The sequence below is a fragment of the Homo sapiens genome, chromosome 22 (assembly GCF_000001405.40).
Source record: "Homo sapiens chromosome 22, GRCh38.p14 Primary Assembly".
NCBI lineage: Eukaryota > Metazoa > Chordata > Mammalia > Primates > Hominidae > Homo > Homo sapiens.
Window position 1 is genome coordinate 30828909 of NC_000022.11, and position 14251 is coordinate 30843159.

Sequence of the window (14251 nt, forward strand, 5' to 3'; positions counted from 1 at the left end):
CTGGACTGGAAGGGCCTGGAGGGAAAAGAGGGTCATGATGGGGCAGTGCAGCAGAGAAGAGGAGACCCTCGTGGGCCAAGCACCAGCCCTGTGCGCTTGTGGCTGTTCACTGTGCCACAGCATGCCCAGTGACAGTGAGGAAGGCATTGACAGTGTGGAGGCGATGGGGCTGGGACAGGCCCAGGCTCCCCCAGCCAGGCAGTCAAGGTTCTTTGCCACTGGTAGCCCCAAGGAGCCTGGAGAACATAGCGTGCTCTCCAGGGAGCTGGTTCATTTGGCGTTCACGGGTTGGCGTGCAGGGCTGCTGTGGGCTCACTTGGCACCTCGCGTGGATTAGAAAAGGATGCCTCTTCCTCAAGACCCTTTACCCCTACTTATTTTTTGTTTAGTTATTTTTTTGAGACGGAGTCTTGCTCTGGAGTCTTCCAGGCTGCAGTGCCGTGGTGCAATCTCGGCTCACTGCAACCTCTGCCTCCCGGGTTCAAGCTGTTCTCCTGCATCAGCCTCCCGAGTAGCTGGGATTACAGATGCCTGCCACCACGCCTGGCTAATTTTTGTATTTTTAGTAGAGATGGGGTTTCCCCATGTTGGCCAGACTGGTCTTGAACTCCTGAACTCAAATGGTCTGCCTGCCAAAGTGCTGGGATTACAGGCGTGAACCAAATCCTCCCAAAGTGCTGGGATTGCAGGCGTGAGCCACCACGCCGGGCCCTTACCTCTACTTATTTGTAAACTGTTGTAATAGTTTAAAATTGTTCTGATTTGTCAGAACGAGACTCTTCCATTTGCTGGATTTGCATTGTAATAAAAATAAATCTATAGTGTCTGTTGTGAATGGCACTTCCTAGGGCTGTGCAATGTACAACCTGCTCAACCATATGCAACAGCCCTGTTAATAAAAACAATTATTAGTAATAATATTTGACTGGTCCTGAAGGTAGCACAATGACCTCTGTTGCCTCTGGGCAAAGAGAGGGCTGCTTAGGTGCCAGGCTAAGACAGGTGACCCGACGGGGGCCAAAGTGGGAGCAGGGCTTGGGAGACTTCAGTGAAAAGATCTCAAGGTGGCTAGTGAAATGGAGAGAGGGGCCTGAGTCTGGATGCATGGGGTTGAGCTGGAGCTGGGACTGAGGGGTTTGCTGGATGTACATCTTCTTCTGACCTCATCAGGGAGTGTCCTGTAGGGCCCGGCCCTGCCCACTGCAGATTCATTCTCCTGGCATCTGGTTTTCCTATAAAGTGCCAGTCAGCTCAAACCAGCAGCAGCATCTGATCAAATAGATGAGCAATATGAATAAAAATGAAGTTATGGGCTTTGGGCTGCCAAAGATAAATTTCCTTTTATGTCCTGTTTCCCTGTGACGTGTGTGTTGAGTAATGATTCCTGACGCATATCTTCAGAAATAGTAGTTGCTCACACTGGGTGGTGTGTCAAGGCGGAAGGAGGCCACAGACTTGGGGAATGGAACCCCACCTGGACAGCGCCCTGGGGCTGCCTGCCGCATCCTGACCTGGCATGGCCATCAGCCTTTCGGCCATAGGTGGGGCTGGTTAGAGGACAAGTGTCTTTCCTGGTCAGGCCCACTGGGTGCATCCCTCCACCGCGGATATTTTTACATTAGAAGCAGCATAGTTTGTACGGGACAGGGCCCCTGGAATGTGACTCTTAGTTCATTAACCATTTGGTAACTGCTCATCTGCCTGGCAAAATCCCTTCCCCAAATCCCACTCCTCACCTGTCCCCCAGCACACATGCTTTGTTTTTGGCCAGACTTTCTGAGATTCAGCAGGACCAATCTTCTGTGCCCTAGGCATTCATTATTTTTAAGGGTTATTTACTGTTTAGACAACAATTCCAGATGTTCAAGAGCATGGCGTTTCCATAGCGCCATTATCCCTTTGCCACTGTTTTTAGGTCTCTATTTTTGGTCAATGTTTTTCCTTTATACAAACATCCTTTTAATATCATTGAGATCCAAAAAAAAAAAATGTCATTTTCACATGGCTGTACATCATAAACACTTTCCCACGTTATCGCAGGCTTTGTGTTTATTCGTTGGAAGGCTGTGGAATGCCTTTTCCTTCTGTTAGACATTTAGGTTCTTCCCAGATCACTGTAGCCAACTGCTGCCTGAGCATCTTTGGCATGTAAAGTTTTTCCTTTGTGTTTCTTTCCGGGACACATTGCCAAGAATGCAATCGCTGAGTCAAAGGGTGTGAATGCTTCCCTCTAGCAGCCCCATCACCCTTGGCAAGAACGTTCTGGTTCATGATGCTTGGGGCGGGTGTGGACAACACCTTGCTGTAAGCTTCCCTACATTAGACTTCCATCATTCTGAGAGATTATTCTTTGGCCAGTATAATGTGCCTTGTTTTCACTTGCAATTGACTAACCAAAAAGCATGAAGTGTCCTTACTAGTTCAGTTATTATTTGTTGTTGCTCTTTGATGGCTCGTCAGCTGCACTGTCTCCTGCCATTGTGTGGAAAACCAACGGAAGGCATTCTAAACGAAGTTGGTTTATGTTGTACGTGGCTGGAACCCAAGCCAGACAGGACTTCTTGGGACCCTGGCACCGATCCACTGTCCTTGGTGGTTGGGGTTCAGAGAAGTGGTCCCTGGAACTGTCATCCCCTAGCAAAACCTGCTTCTTGACTTGTGGGGCAAATGCAAAATGAAAATATAGGGCCCCTTGCAAAAATTATTAAGAATTTCAAGACAGCTGAGAATTAAATCAAGGGTAGGGCCCTTCTGAATTGGGGGTGATGCTGGCACTGCCCCTGTTCTCTGGAGTTATCTAGTGGGAGGTGGCTCACTTGACTGTACTGAATCCACTCTTTAGCTTTCCCAAGGGACATTCCAGATGCAGAGGTCCCAATCCAGGCATGGGTGAGAGTCTGATGGGAGGCCACTTATGGCCACCAACAGCCCCCATCCTGCTGCTGTGATCAGCACTCAAAGTCAGCACCACAGGAGAACCTGTTAACCACCCTCTCTGATCTCCTTGGCCCAAAGTTAATTGCCTTCTCCCATGGCTGTTTCTGTGCCTACTTTGACCTCACCCTGACCCCTGGTAGCTCTTTCTGGTGATGATCTGACCTTTCTCCTCCTGCTCCTCTTTGCCTGCTTTGGCCAAGCAGAACAAGTGACCAGGAAGCATCTCACTGTCCTGGGACATTCTGGGCACTTTTTCCAGTATGAGCCTTCATCTTTGTTGTGCCTACTTCACTCCCACCATCCCTCTCTGCCCTTCTGCCCTTGCCCCCTTCTTACCAGCTCAGTTTTCAAGATTCACACTGAAGTCCTTAATGTATCCAGAATTGATTTCTGTATATATATGTAAATGATATGAACTATGCAGTTAATTTTCTTTTTCTTTTTTCTTTTCTTTCTTTTTTTTTTTAAGATACAAAGTCTCGTTTTGTTGCCTGGAGTGCAGTGGCATGATCATGGCTCACTGCAGCCTCGACCTCCCCATCTCAAGCGATCCTCCCACCTCAGCCTCCCAAGTAGCTGGGACTACAGGCATGTGCCACCACACCTGGCTAATTTTTTTTTTTCCTGTAAAGATGGGGTTTTGCTATGTTGCCCAGGCTGGTTTTGAACTCTTGGCCTCAAGTGCTCCTCCTGCCTTGGCCTTCCAAATGCTGGCAGGAGCTGCTGCTTGTATTGTGCAAAGCAGGTAATTTAAGTGGCTGCAGATAGCCGCTCACAGTTGGAATCATTGTTTGGACTCATTCTTAATTGGAAATGCCAGGCTCTTTCTGTGATCACGGTCACGATCTCCTTGAAGACAGCAGAGTTTCCTTGCGGGGTATTAACTTCTCAGGGGCCTCCGAAACATGCTGGCATTCTCAATGGACTAGATGGATTTCCACAGAAGGAAGGGGAGGTGACCCTGGTCTCAGGGCTGGGCAGTGGCGCACTGCAGGGGAGCTGGGGTGGAGTGCCCAGCTAGCCACAGCAGCAGGAGCTGCATTCCAGGAGTGTCTCCCTGTGAATTGCATAGAGTTTAAAGTTTTTAAAATGGCCCTTGGCTTGATTTAGTTCTTACTCTCATGGGAAATGTGGCCATAGATACTCGTGTTCTTTTTCCACATTTTTCAAAGTTTGATTCAGAAAGGTGTCAGTGCGCGAGTTCTCACATTGAGTTGAGAAGGATTCAGTCACCCATATGAAAGAAAATGTTATAGCCATAGAATCCTAGACTGTCACTGTCAGATGGGGTCTTAGAGATGATTTACCAAACCCCTATGGTACAGACAAGGAAACTGAGGCCTAGAAACACACAACTGTACAGCTAGGAAGGCATGGAGCCAGCCGTCCGCTGTTAGAGATTAGAGGACATAATCCCAAATCATCACCGTTTGGCTGTTAAAATAATTCATGACTTTTTTTTCCTGGTTACCAAGATAGTTCATGCTCATTGTAGAAAATCCAATAGGAAAAAAAAGCATCTAAAAGAAATTTTAAAATAAGCGTAATTCTGTTGCAGAGATAACCACAAATAATACTAGCTACTTACTGTGCATGGAGCTCCTGGGCCATACACCTACATGTGTAATTGAGCTCTGCTTGTCCCTTGACCTGTCACCCTGAACCTCAGCTGGTTTGAGGTCCCTCCCTTGATTTTGTAGGTGTGGCAGCTGAGACATTGACGCAGAATTTGCCTTGTCACACAGCCATAGTAAATGGACTCAAAGCCAGCCACTAGTCTCACCATATACCAGAACCAGGATTTAATAGCATTTTAAATTGTGTTGAGAATTGAAAACAGTATCTCATTATTGAATGAGTGTATCTTTGCTAGAATTTCTATTGGGTTTGAATTTTTTTCTTCTAGTGTATTAACCTCTTGCAGGTCTGGGACTTCATCATCATATGCCAGTTTTGTCTAGTGTTGCACCTAAACCATGGTGATATGATTATTGCAGTTGGAAAGTATGTTTTCTATAGTAGGGCAGATCTTCTCTTATCAGTGTTTTTTTACCAACACTTTGTTTTGCAAAATTTCAAACAGAAAAGTTGCAAGAACTGTATAATCAACACTTGTACACCCACCACATAGATTCTACCAATAACATTTTACTATATTTACTTGATCACCATTTATCCTTCCATACATCCCTCTCTTTAACCATCAGTCCATTTTTTTTTTTGACATAGGGTCTTGCTCTGCTGCCCACGCTGGGGTGCAGTGGTGTGATCATAGCTCACTGCAGCCTCTAACTTCTAGGCTCAGGTGATCCTCCCACTTCAGCCTCCCAACTTTATTCATTTTTACTGCCATATAATATTCCAGTGTAGGAATATAGAACATCCACTCATCAGTTGATGGACATTTGGGTTATTTCTACTTTGGGGCTATTATAAATCTTCTATGAACTTTTCTATGAACACAAAAGCGCATAAACTTTTGTGTGGATGTATGTTTTCTTCACTCTTGGTTATATACCAAGGAGTGGGATTGCTAGGTAATATAGTTTAACTTTTGAGAGACTGCTCAACTGTTTTTCATAGAGACTGCACCATTTTACATTATCACAAGGAATGTATTAGGATTCCAGTTCCTCTAAATCCTTGCTCTAACACATGCTACTTTCTGGGTTTTGTTTGTTTTTTAATCACTGTCATCCTGTTGGAAGTGAAGTAGTTATTTCATGGTGGTTTTGTTTTGCATTTCTCTAATAACTGATAATGTTGAACATCTTTTCATGTGCTTACTGGCCATTTGTATATTTTCTTTGAAGAAATGCCTATTTAAATCCTTTGCCTATTATCTATTTGGGTTGTCTTTTTATTCTCGTATGAGTTATTTATATATTCTGGATACAAGTCCCTTATCAGATACATTTTCAGAAATATTTTCTCCTATTCTATGGATTGTCTTTTCTTTTCTTTTCTTTTCTTTTTTTTTTCTTTTTTGAGATGGAGTCTCGCTTGGTCGCCCAGGCTGGAGTGCAGTGGCGTGATCTTGGCTCACTGCAACCTCTGCCTCCTGGGTTCAAGTGATTCTCATTCCTCAGTCTCCTGAGCAGCTGAGAATACAGGCATGCACCACCACACCTGGCTAATTTTTGTATTTTTAGTAGAAACAAGGTTTTACCATGTTGGTCAGGTGGTCTCGAACTTCTGACCTCAGGTGATCTGCCCACCTCGGCCTCCCAAAGTGCTGGGGTTACACCATGCCTGGCCTGTCTTTCATTCTTGATAGTATCACTTGCAGCACAAAATTTTTAATTTTGATGTTTAATTTATCTATTTTTTTTGTTTTGTCATCTGTGCTTTTGTAATATCTAAGAAACCATTGTCTAATCCAAATTCAAGAAGATTTACTTCTGTGTTTTCTTCTAGGAATTTTATAGTTTTAGTTCTTGCATTTAGATCTATGATTCATTTTAATTTTTTTATATAGGGTAAGGTTGGGATCCAACTTCATTCTTTTGCATGCTATCCCAGCACCATTTGTTGAGAATATTTTTGTCTCCCCATTTAATTATCTTAGCACCCTTGTTGAAAATCAGTCAACCATAAATGTAAGGGTTAATTTCTGGATTTCTAGTTCTATTCCAGTGATCTATATGTCTATCCTTATGCCAACACCACACTTTCAATAGACACTCTTAATTTGAATGTAGTTGAATTTATCAGTTTTTATAGATAGGACCTTTTATATTTCTGCCTGGAGACCATACTGGTATTTTCTAAAAATTTTCTCCTGAAAAGTTTTCAAGATTCACACTGAAGTCCTTAATGTATCCAGAATTGATTTCTGTATACATATGTAAATGATACGAAATATGTAGTTACTTTTTTTTTTTTTTTTTTTAAGATACAAAGTCTCATTTTGTTGCCTGGAGTGCAGTGGCATGATCACGGCTCATTGCAGCCTCGACCTCCCCTATCTCAAGTGATCCTCCCACCTCAGCCTCCCAAGTAGCTGGGACTACAGGCATGTGCCACCACACCTGGCTAAATTTTTTTTTTTCCTGTAAAGGTGGGGTTTCACTATGTTGCCCAGGCTGGTTTTGAACTCTTGGCCTCAAGTGCTCCTCCTGCCTTGGCCTTCCAAATGCTGGGATTACAGGCATGAGCCACCATGCCCAGCCATTAATTGTATTTTTCTGATGTGGTCAACCAAGTAGCTCAGTGCTATTTATTGAGCAGTTTCTCTTCTCTCCTCTGATCCACTCTACCACTTCTGATGACTGTCAGAGTTCTACATATGCTTGGGTCTGTTTGGGGTGCTCGCTCTCATTTCACAGAACAATTTTTTCCCCTGCTTTAGTACCACAGTACCTTAAGTACTTTATAATACAGTTTGATATCTTGTAGTTCAAGTCCCCCTGCTCGCTTATCAGGGTGCTGTTATTCCTGTTTTAGAAATGGGAAAACAGGCTAGAGAGGTTATGTCCCAGGCCATAATGCTAATGACTGGCAGAGCCAGGCTTGTTTGAACTTGGGCAGGCCGACTTGCAGGCTCTACCCTTAGCCTCTGAATTCTGCTTCCCTTAATGGCAAGCACATACAAAGCTATTTGTTGTTGGTTCACATTTGCTCCACTGGCCAACAGTTGAAGACCTTTCCTCCTTCCTTTTCTTTGCCTGGCAAAAGGAAGACACATTTTCATTGTAACCCCCTGAATATAATGCTTAACCTTCTGCTGCTGCCAAACCGGAGATATTTCGGGAAAGGTAATTCAAAGGTATTTACCACTAAGTTTATGTCTTTGGGCAAGCTTTCAGGCAAAGGTGCTGATGCAGGCGTGGTTCAGTGAAGAGCTGGTGGAGCGAGTGGGATGCAGCAGGGCAGGTAGCCCCAGGGTCAGCAGACACAGCAGGCAATTGGGAGAGGAGAGACTCCAGAAGCCCCAAGAGGTGATAATCACTGGAGTTCTGGTTGATATTGGCCAGAAAGAAGGAGGCTTGGGGACTTAGTGGCTTTTAGGGACTGCTGCCTGTGTCCCCAGTGCCTTATGTAGTAGCTGGCACATGACAGGTTCTCCGTCAACTCTTGTTAAGTGGGTGAATGTGATTAAAGAACCAATTTAACAGATCAAAGATGATAAAAAGTGGCTCACTCCTGTAATCCCAGCACTTTGGGAGGCCAAGGCAGGCACATCACTTGAGCCCAGGAGTTCAATACTAGCCTGGCCAACATGGCGAAACCCCATCTCTACAACAACAACAACTAAAATACAAAAATTAGCCAGGTGTAGTGGCATCTACCTGTAATCCCAGCTACTAGGGAGGCTGAGGCAGGAGAATCACTTGAAACTGAGAGGCAGAGGTTGCAGTGAGCCAAGATCATGCCACTGTACTCCAACCTGGGCAACAGAGTGAGACTCTGTCTCAAAAAAAAAAAAAAAAAGAAAGAAAGTTTGCCCATAACCCTAATGGACCTTGGCTTCCTTTTCTGTTCCACTGGGGGTAGAGAAGTGGTTATTTGTGCCCAGGCAGTGATGCAGAAGCATGGAAAACCACTGAGACCCCTTTTGCTGGGGTCCCGCTCGTCCCCATGAGAAGGAGGTGGGCCATTCTACCTAGCAGTGCTGTGCACTGGTTTATAGGTAGCTTGTGGCTTCCAAGAGTCTGCACTGTGTGAAGAAGAAACTATTGCAGAAGAAAAATGCCTCTACTTTTCTCTTGGTGCCTAGCTCAGAAGGAATGGAGTCCATTGTCATTCCAAATGGCATTTCCTAGAATCTGGGTCACCCTGCAACTCCCTGAGCATGTGTGGCTCTGAGCCCTGCGCTCGTTTGCCAGCTGCTGAGGCTGCGATTGTGATGTGGTTCTAGGCAGGTTCGGGGTGAGCAAAGCCCAGGGTGCGACAGGGTGATGCAAGCCACAGGAGGAGTCAGGACCTAAGGCCGGGCTAAATCTTGATGCCAGCATTGTCTTGGTTGCTTCCTTTGCAGCCCTGAAGACTCTGCTTCTTACACATTGGTTGGGCATGTGAACCCTCTTTAGAATAATGTAGGTCTTCATTTTTCCAAGCTCACATGTGCTTTTTGTGAAAGAGCATCATCGTTATTTTTAGTGAATGCTTTGTATGTGCCAAAAACTATGCTGTGCTTTTTATGTACATTGTCAAATTTAATTTCTTTTCAGCCCCGAGGTACATATTTTTTCTATTCTGATTTTAGAGAGGAAGAAACTAGACACAGTGAGATTAAGTCATTTGGTAAAGATAGCAGAACTGTGAGGTTCAGCAAACCAGAGCCCACCCTTTTAGGATCTAGACCTTGTCAGGATTCCTCGTGTGGCAGCAAGCTGTCCAATTTAGAGGGTCCCAGCAGCAGCTTCATGCACATCCCGAGCATGCAGCTGTGGCATGAAGGGGACTGGAAGGTTAAATGTGCTTCTCTTCCAACTTGTGTTCCAGTGTTTGGAGTCCCTGGGGATGTGATTGCATAATACTGTTAATTCCCTGAGGATAAGAACCAGGTCTGATTCATATCTATGAAATAATTGGAAAAATATAGGAAAATATGAGGAAATAAAAGTATATAAACCCACAAAACAAATACTTTAATGTACTTTTGTGTATTTCTTTTTCTTACGTTATTCCATTGGCTGGAACCTCCAGTACAATGTTAAATAGAAGTGATGACAGCAGAAATCCTTGCCATGGTCCTAGTCCTGGGGGAGAACATTCAGTCTTTCACCATTAACTACGATCTGCACTGTATGTTTTTTACAGATCTCTTATCAAGTTGAGCAAGTTCCCTTTTATTCCTAGTTTTCTGAGAGATTTTATGACGAAGAGATGTTTAATTTTGCCCAGTGCTTTTTTTTTCTGTGCCTATTAAAATTATTATCACTTGGATTTTTTTTCTTTAGTCTGTTAATATAGTGAATTATTTTGATTTTTATATTTTGGTCCCACCCTCAAGGTTTTTTGTTGTTGTTGTTGTTTCGTTTTGTTTTTTTTTATTATTATTATACTTTAAGTTTTAGGGTACATGTGCACAATGTGCAGGTTAGTTACATATGTATACATGTGGCATGCTGGTGTGCTGCACCCATTAACTCATCATTTAGCATTAGGAGATATACCTAATCTCCCCCCTCCCCCCACCCTTCCCCCCTCCCCCCACCCCACAACAGTCCCCAGAGTGTGATGGTCCCCTTCCGGTGTCCATGTGTTCTCATTGTTCAATTCCCATCTATGAGTGAGAACATGTGGTGTTTGGTTTTTTGTCCTTGCGATAGTTTACTGAGAATGATGATTTCCAATTTCATCCATGTCCCTACAAAGGACATGAACTCATCATTTTTTATGGCTGCATAGTATTCCATGGTGTATATGTGCCACATTTTCTTAATCCAGTCTATCATTGTTGGACATTTGGCTTGGTTCCAAGTCTTTGCTATTGTGAATAGTACCACAATAAACATATGTGTGCATGTGTCTTTATAGCAGCATGATTTATAGTCCTTTGGGTATATACCCAGTAATGGGATGGCTGGGTCAAATGGTATTTCCAGTTCTAGATCCCTGAGGAATCGCCACACTGACTTCCACAATGGTTGAACTAGTTTACAGTCCCACCAACAGTGTAAAAGTGTTCCTATTTCTCCACATCCTGTCCAGCACCTGTTGTTTCCTGACTTTTTAATGATTGCCATTCTAACTGGTGTGAGATGGTATCTCATTATGGTTTTGATTTGCATTTCTCTGATGGCCAGTGATGATGAGCATTTTTTCATGTGTCTTTTGGCTGCATAAATGTCTTTTGAGAAGTGTCTGTTCATATCCTTTGCCCACTTTTTGATGGGGTTGTTTTTTTCTTGTAAATTTGTTTGAGTTCATTGTAGATTCTGGATATTAGCCCTTTGTCAGATGAGTAGGTTGCGAAAATTTTCTCCCATTTTGTAGGTTGCCTGTACACTCTGATGGTAGTTTCTTTTGCTGTGCAGAAGCTCTTTAGTTTAATTAGATCCCATTTGTCAATTTTGGCTTTTGTTGCCATTGCTTTTGGTGTTTTAGACATGAAGTTCTTGCCCATGCCTATGTCCTGAATGGTATTGCCTAGGTTTTCTTCTAGGGTTTTTATGGTTTTAGGTCTAACGTTTAAGTCTTTTAAGCCATCTTGAATTAATTTTTGTATAAGGTGTAAGGAAGGGATCCAGTTTCAGCTTTCTTTTTTTTTTTTTTTCAACTTTCTTTTTTAGCATTGGGTGATATACCTAATGCTAGATGACGAGTTAGTGGGTGCAGTGCACCAACATGGCACATGTATACATATGTAACTAACCTGCACAATGTGCACATGTACCCTAAAACTTCAAGTGTAATAAAAAAAAAAAAGAAAGAAACTTAAAGTGCATCTTGTTGCAAACAAACCCTGGTATATAGCAGGCATTCAATAAATGTTTATTAAATAAACCTGTTAAAAAAAAAAAGAAAAAGGAAAAAAAAAAAGAAAGCTGAAACTGGATCCCTTCCTTACACCTTACACCCTCAAGGTTTTTTCTTGTTCATTAGCTCTAGAATAGAGCTGGAAGATTGGCATTTCTAACAAGATCCCAGATGATGCTGGTCCAGTGATTACAATTTGAGAACCACTTCATTAAAGAGATGGGAGGGAGATGGGGTGGGGAGTGGTAAAATCTCAGTTAGCCACTTGAGTTCAGACTTAGCTCTGCCCCTTACCAGATGTGTACATGTAACATAGCCTCTCCAAACCTATGTCTTATCTGTAAGATGGGATTGATAATAAGGCAAGAAGTGAAAGAGTTGATATGGGGAAATAACTCAGAATAGTGTCTGGCACAAAGTAAATGCTTAATAAATCTTACCTATTTGTTCCTTTCTGTATGGTGGGTGGGAGGACTTAATGAGATAATTAATGTAAAGCCCTGGCACATACAAAGTGCTGCATACATGCTAGTTTTAGTGTTTTTTTTTTTAACAGCTTTCTTGAGATATAATTCACACACCACATAATCCATTTAAAGTGTACAACGTGGGCTAGGCGAGGTGACTCATGCCTGTAATCTCAGGACTTTGGGAGGCCCAGGCAGGTGGATCACTTGAGGTCAGGAGTTTAAGACCAGTCTGGCCAACATGATGAAACCCCATCTCTACTAAAAATACAAAAATTAACCAGGTGTGATGGCGGGCACCTGTAACCCCAGCTACTTGGGGGTCTGAGGAATGAGAATCACTTGAACCCGGGAGGCGGAGGCTGCAGTGAGCTGAGATTGCATCACTGTACTCCAGCCTGGGTGACAGAGTGAGACTCTGTCTCACAAAAACAAAAAAACAAAAAATAAATAATAAAAAATAAAGTGTACAATGTCTTTTACTATATTTACAAGGCTAGGCAAACCATCGTTACACTCAATTTTAGAACATTTTTATCCCTCCTGAAATAAATCTTATACCTGTTAGCAGTCAATCCCCATTTCTCCTGACCCCTCAACCCTAAGCAACTGCTGTCTACTTTCTGTCTCTATAGGTTTGCCTACTTTGGACATGTTATACAAATGAAACCACATAATGTACAACCTTTGTGACTGGCTTCTTTCAATTAGCATAATGTTTTCAGAGCTTATGCGTGTTGCTACATGTATCAGTACTTCTCTCCTTTGTACTGTTGAGTAAGATTCCGTGACGTAGATACAGTCATACCTCGGAGATATTGCAGATTCAGTTCCAGATAAAGCAATAAGTGCGTCACATGAATTTTTTGGTTTCCTGATGCATATTAAAGTTATGTTTATATTGTACTCTAGTAAGTGAGCAATAGCATTATGTCTAAAAAACAATGTATATATCTTCACTTAAAAATATTTTATTGTAGACCTGGCATGGTGGCTCACACCTCTCATTGCAGTGGTTTGGGAGGCTGAGGCAGAAGGATCAGGGGCCAAGAGTTTGAGACTAGTCCAGGCAACATAGTGAGAACTTGTCTGTACCAAAAACAACAAAAAAAAATAGCTGAGAGTTGTGGCATGCACCTGTAATCCTGACTACTTGGGATTGAACCACTGCATTCTAGCCTGGGTAATAGGGTGAGACTCTGTCTCAAACAATTTTTTTTTTTTGAGAGAGGGTCCTACTCTGTCACCCAGGCTGGAGTGCAGTGGAGAGGTCACAGCTCACTGGAGCCTTCACCTCCCTGGGCTCAGGTGATCTTCTTACCTCAACCTCCCGAGTAGCTGGGACCACAGGGGTGCACCAACATGCCCAGCTTACTTTTGTATTTTTTGTAGACACAGAGTTTTATCGTGTCACCCAGGCTGGTCTCGAACTCCTGAAGTGGGAGTATCCCTTGAGCTCAGGAGTTTGAGGCTGCAGTGAACTATGAATGCAGCCAACTATGAACAATGCAATGAACCATCGCACTTCAGTCTGGGCGACAGAGCAAGGCCCTGTCTCAAAAACAAAACAAAACAAACCCTCTATTACTAACAACTTAACAATCATTGAGCCTTCAGCCAGTTTTTTTTCTTGGTGGAGGGCCTTGCCTTGATGTTGATGGCTGGTGACTGATCAGCGTGGTGATTGCTGAAGGTTGGGGTGGTTGCAGCAATTTCTGAAAATAAGACAACACTGAAGTTTGCCACATCAGTCAACTCTCCCTTTCACAAACGATTTCTCTGTGCCATGTTTGATAGCATTTTATCCTCAGTAGAACTTCTTTCAAAATTGGAATCAATCCTCTCAAACCCTGCCACTGCTTTTTCAACTAAGTTGATGTAATATTCTGAATCCTTTGTTATCATTTCAACAGTGTTCACAGCATCTTCACCAGGATTAGATTTCATCTCAAGAAACCACTCTGCTCATCCGTAAGAAGCAACTCTTTATTCGTTCAAGTTTTGTCATGAGATTTCAGCAATTCAGTTCGTTCTTTCTTTCTTTCTTTCTTTTTTTGAAGGAGTCTGGCTCTGTCATCCAGCCAGGCTGGAGTGCAGTGACGCAATCTCGGCTCACTGCAACCTCCATCTCCTGGGTTCAAGCGATTCTCCTGCCTCAGCTTCCTGAGCAGCTGGGATTACAGGAGTGTGCCACCACACCTGGCTAATTTTTATTTTTATTTTTAGTAGAGACGAGGTTTCACCACGTTGGCCAGGCTGGTCTCAAACTCCTTACCTCAAGTGATCCACCCACCTCAGCCTCCCAAAGTGCTGGGATTACAGGTGTGAGCCACCGCACCCGGCCTGCAATTCAGTTATATCTTGAGGCTCCACTTCTAATTCTGATTCTCTTGCTATTTCTACTACATTTGCAGTTACTT

At 43.3% G+C, this 14251-nt stretch overlaps 1 protein-coding gene across 5 annotated transcripts in view, besides 3 other annotated features; it reads left to right on the forward strand.

Moving 5' to 3' along the window:
* The window catches only part of OSBP2 (oxysterol binding protein 2), a 214032-nt gene that overhangs the window by 135127 nt on the left and 64654 nt on the right, over positions 1–14251 (forward strand). The window lies entirely within an intron of this gene.
* Positions 848–2047: an enhancer, noted in NCBI's record as "P300/CBP strongly-dependent group 1 enhancer chr22:31225743-31226942 (GRCh37/hg19 assembly coordinates)". NCBI's record gives its function as "activates an origin of replication core promoter dependent on BRD2, BRD4, P300/CBP, MED14 and CDK7 cofactors, with strong dependence on P300/CBP, by STARR-seq in HCT116 cells {active_cell/tissue: HCT116}" and the evidence as "EXISTENCE:reporter gene assay evidence [ECO:0000049][PMID:35650434]".
* Positions 983–1483: an enhancer, noted in NCBI's record as "H3K4me1 hESC enhancer chr22:31225878-31226378 (GRCh37/hg19 assembly coordinates)". NCBI's record gives its function as "activates a minimal SCP1, AML or CMV promoter by ChIP-STARR-seq in primed H9 embryonic stem cells {active_cell/tissue: H9 hESC(primed)}" and the evidence as "EXISTENCE:reporter gene assay evidence [ECO:0000049][PMID:30033119]".
* Positions 1484–1984: an enhancer, noted in NCBI's record as "H3K4me1 hESC enhancer chr22:31226379-31226879 (GRCh37/hg19 assembly coordinates)". NCBI's record gives its function as "activates a minimal SCP1, AML or CMV promoter by ChIP-STARR-seq in primed H9 embryonic stem cells {active_cell/tissue: H9 hESC(primed)}" and the evidence as "EXISTENCE:reporter gene assay evidence [ECO:0000049][PMID:30033119]".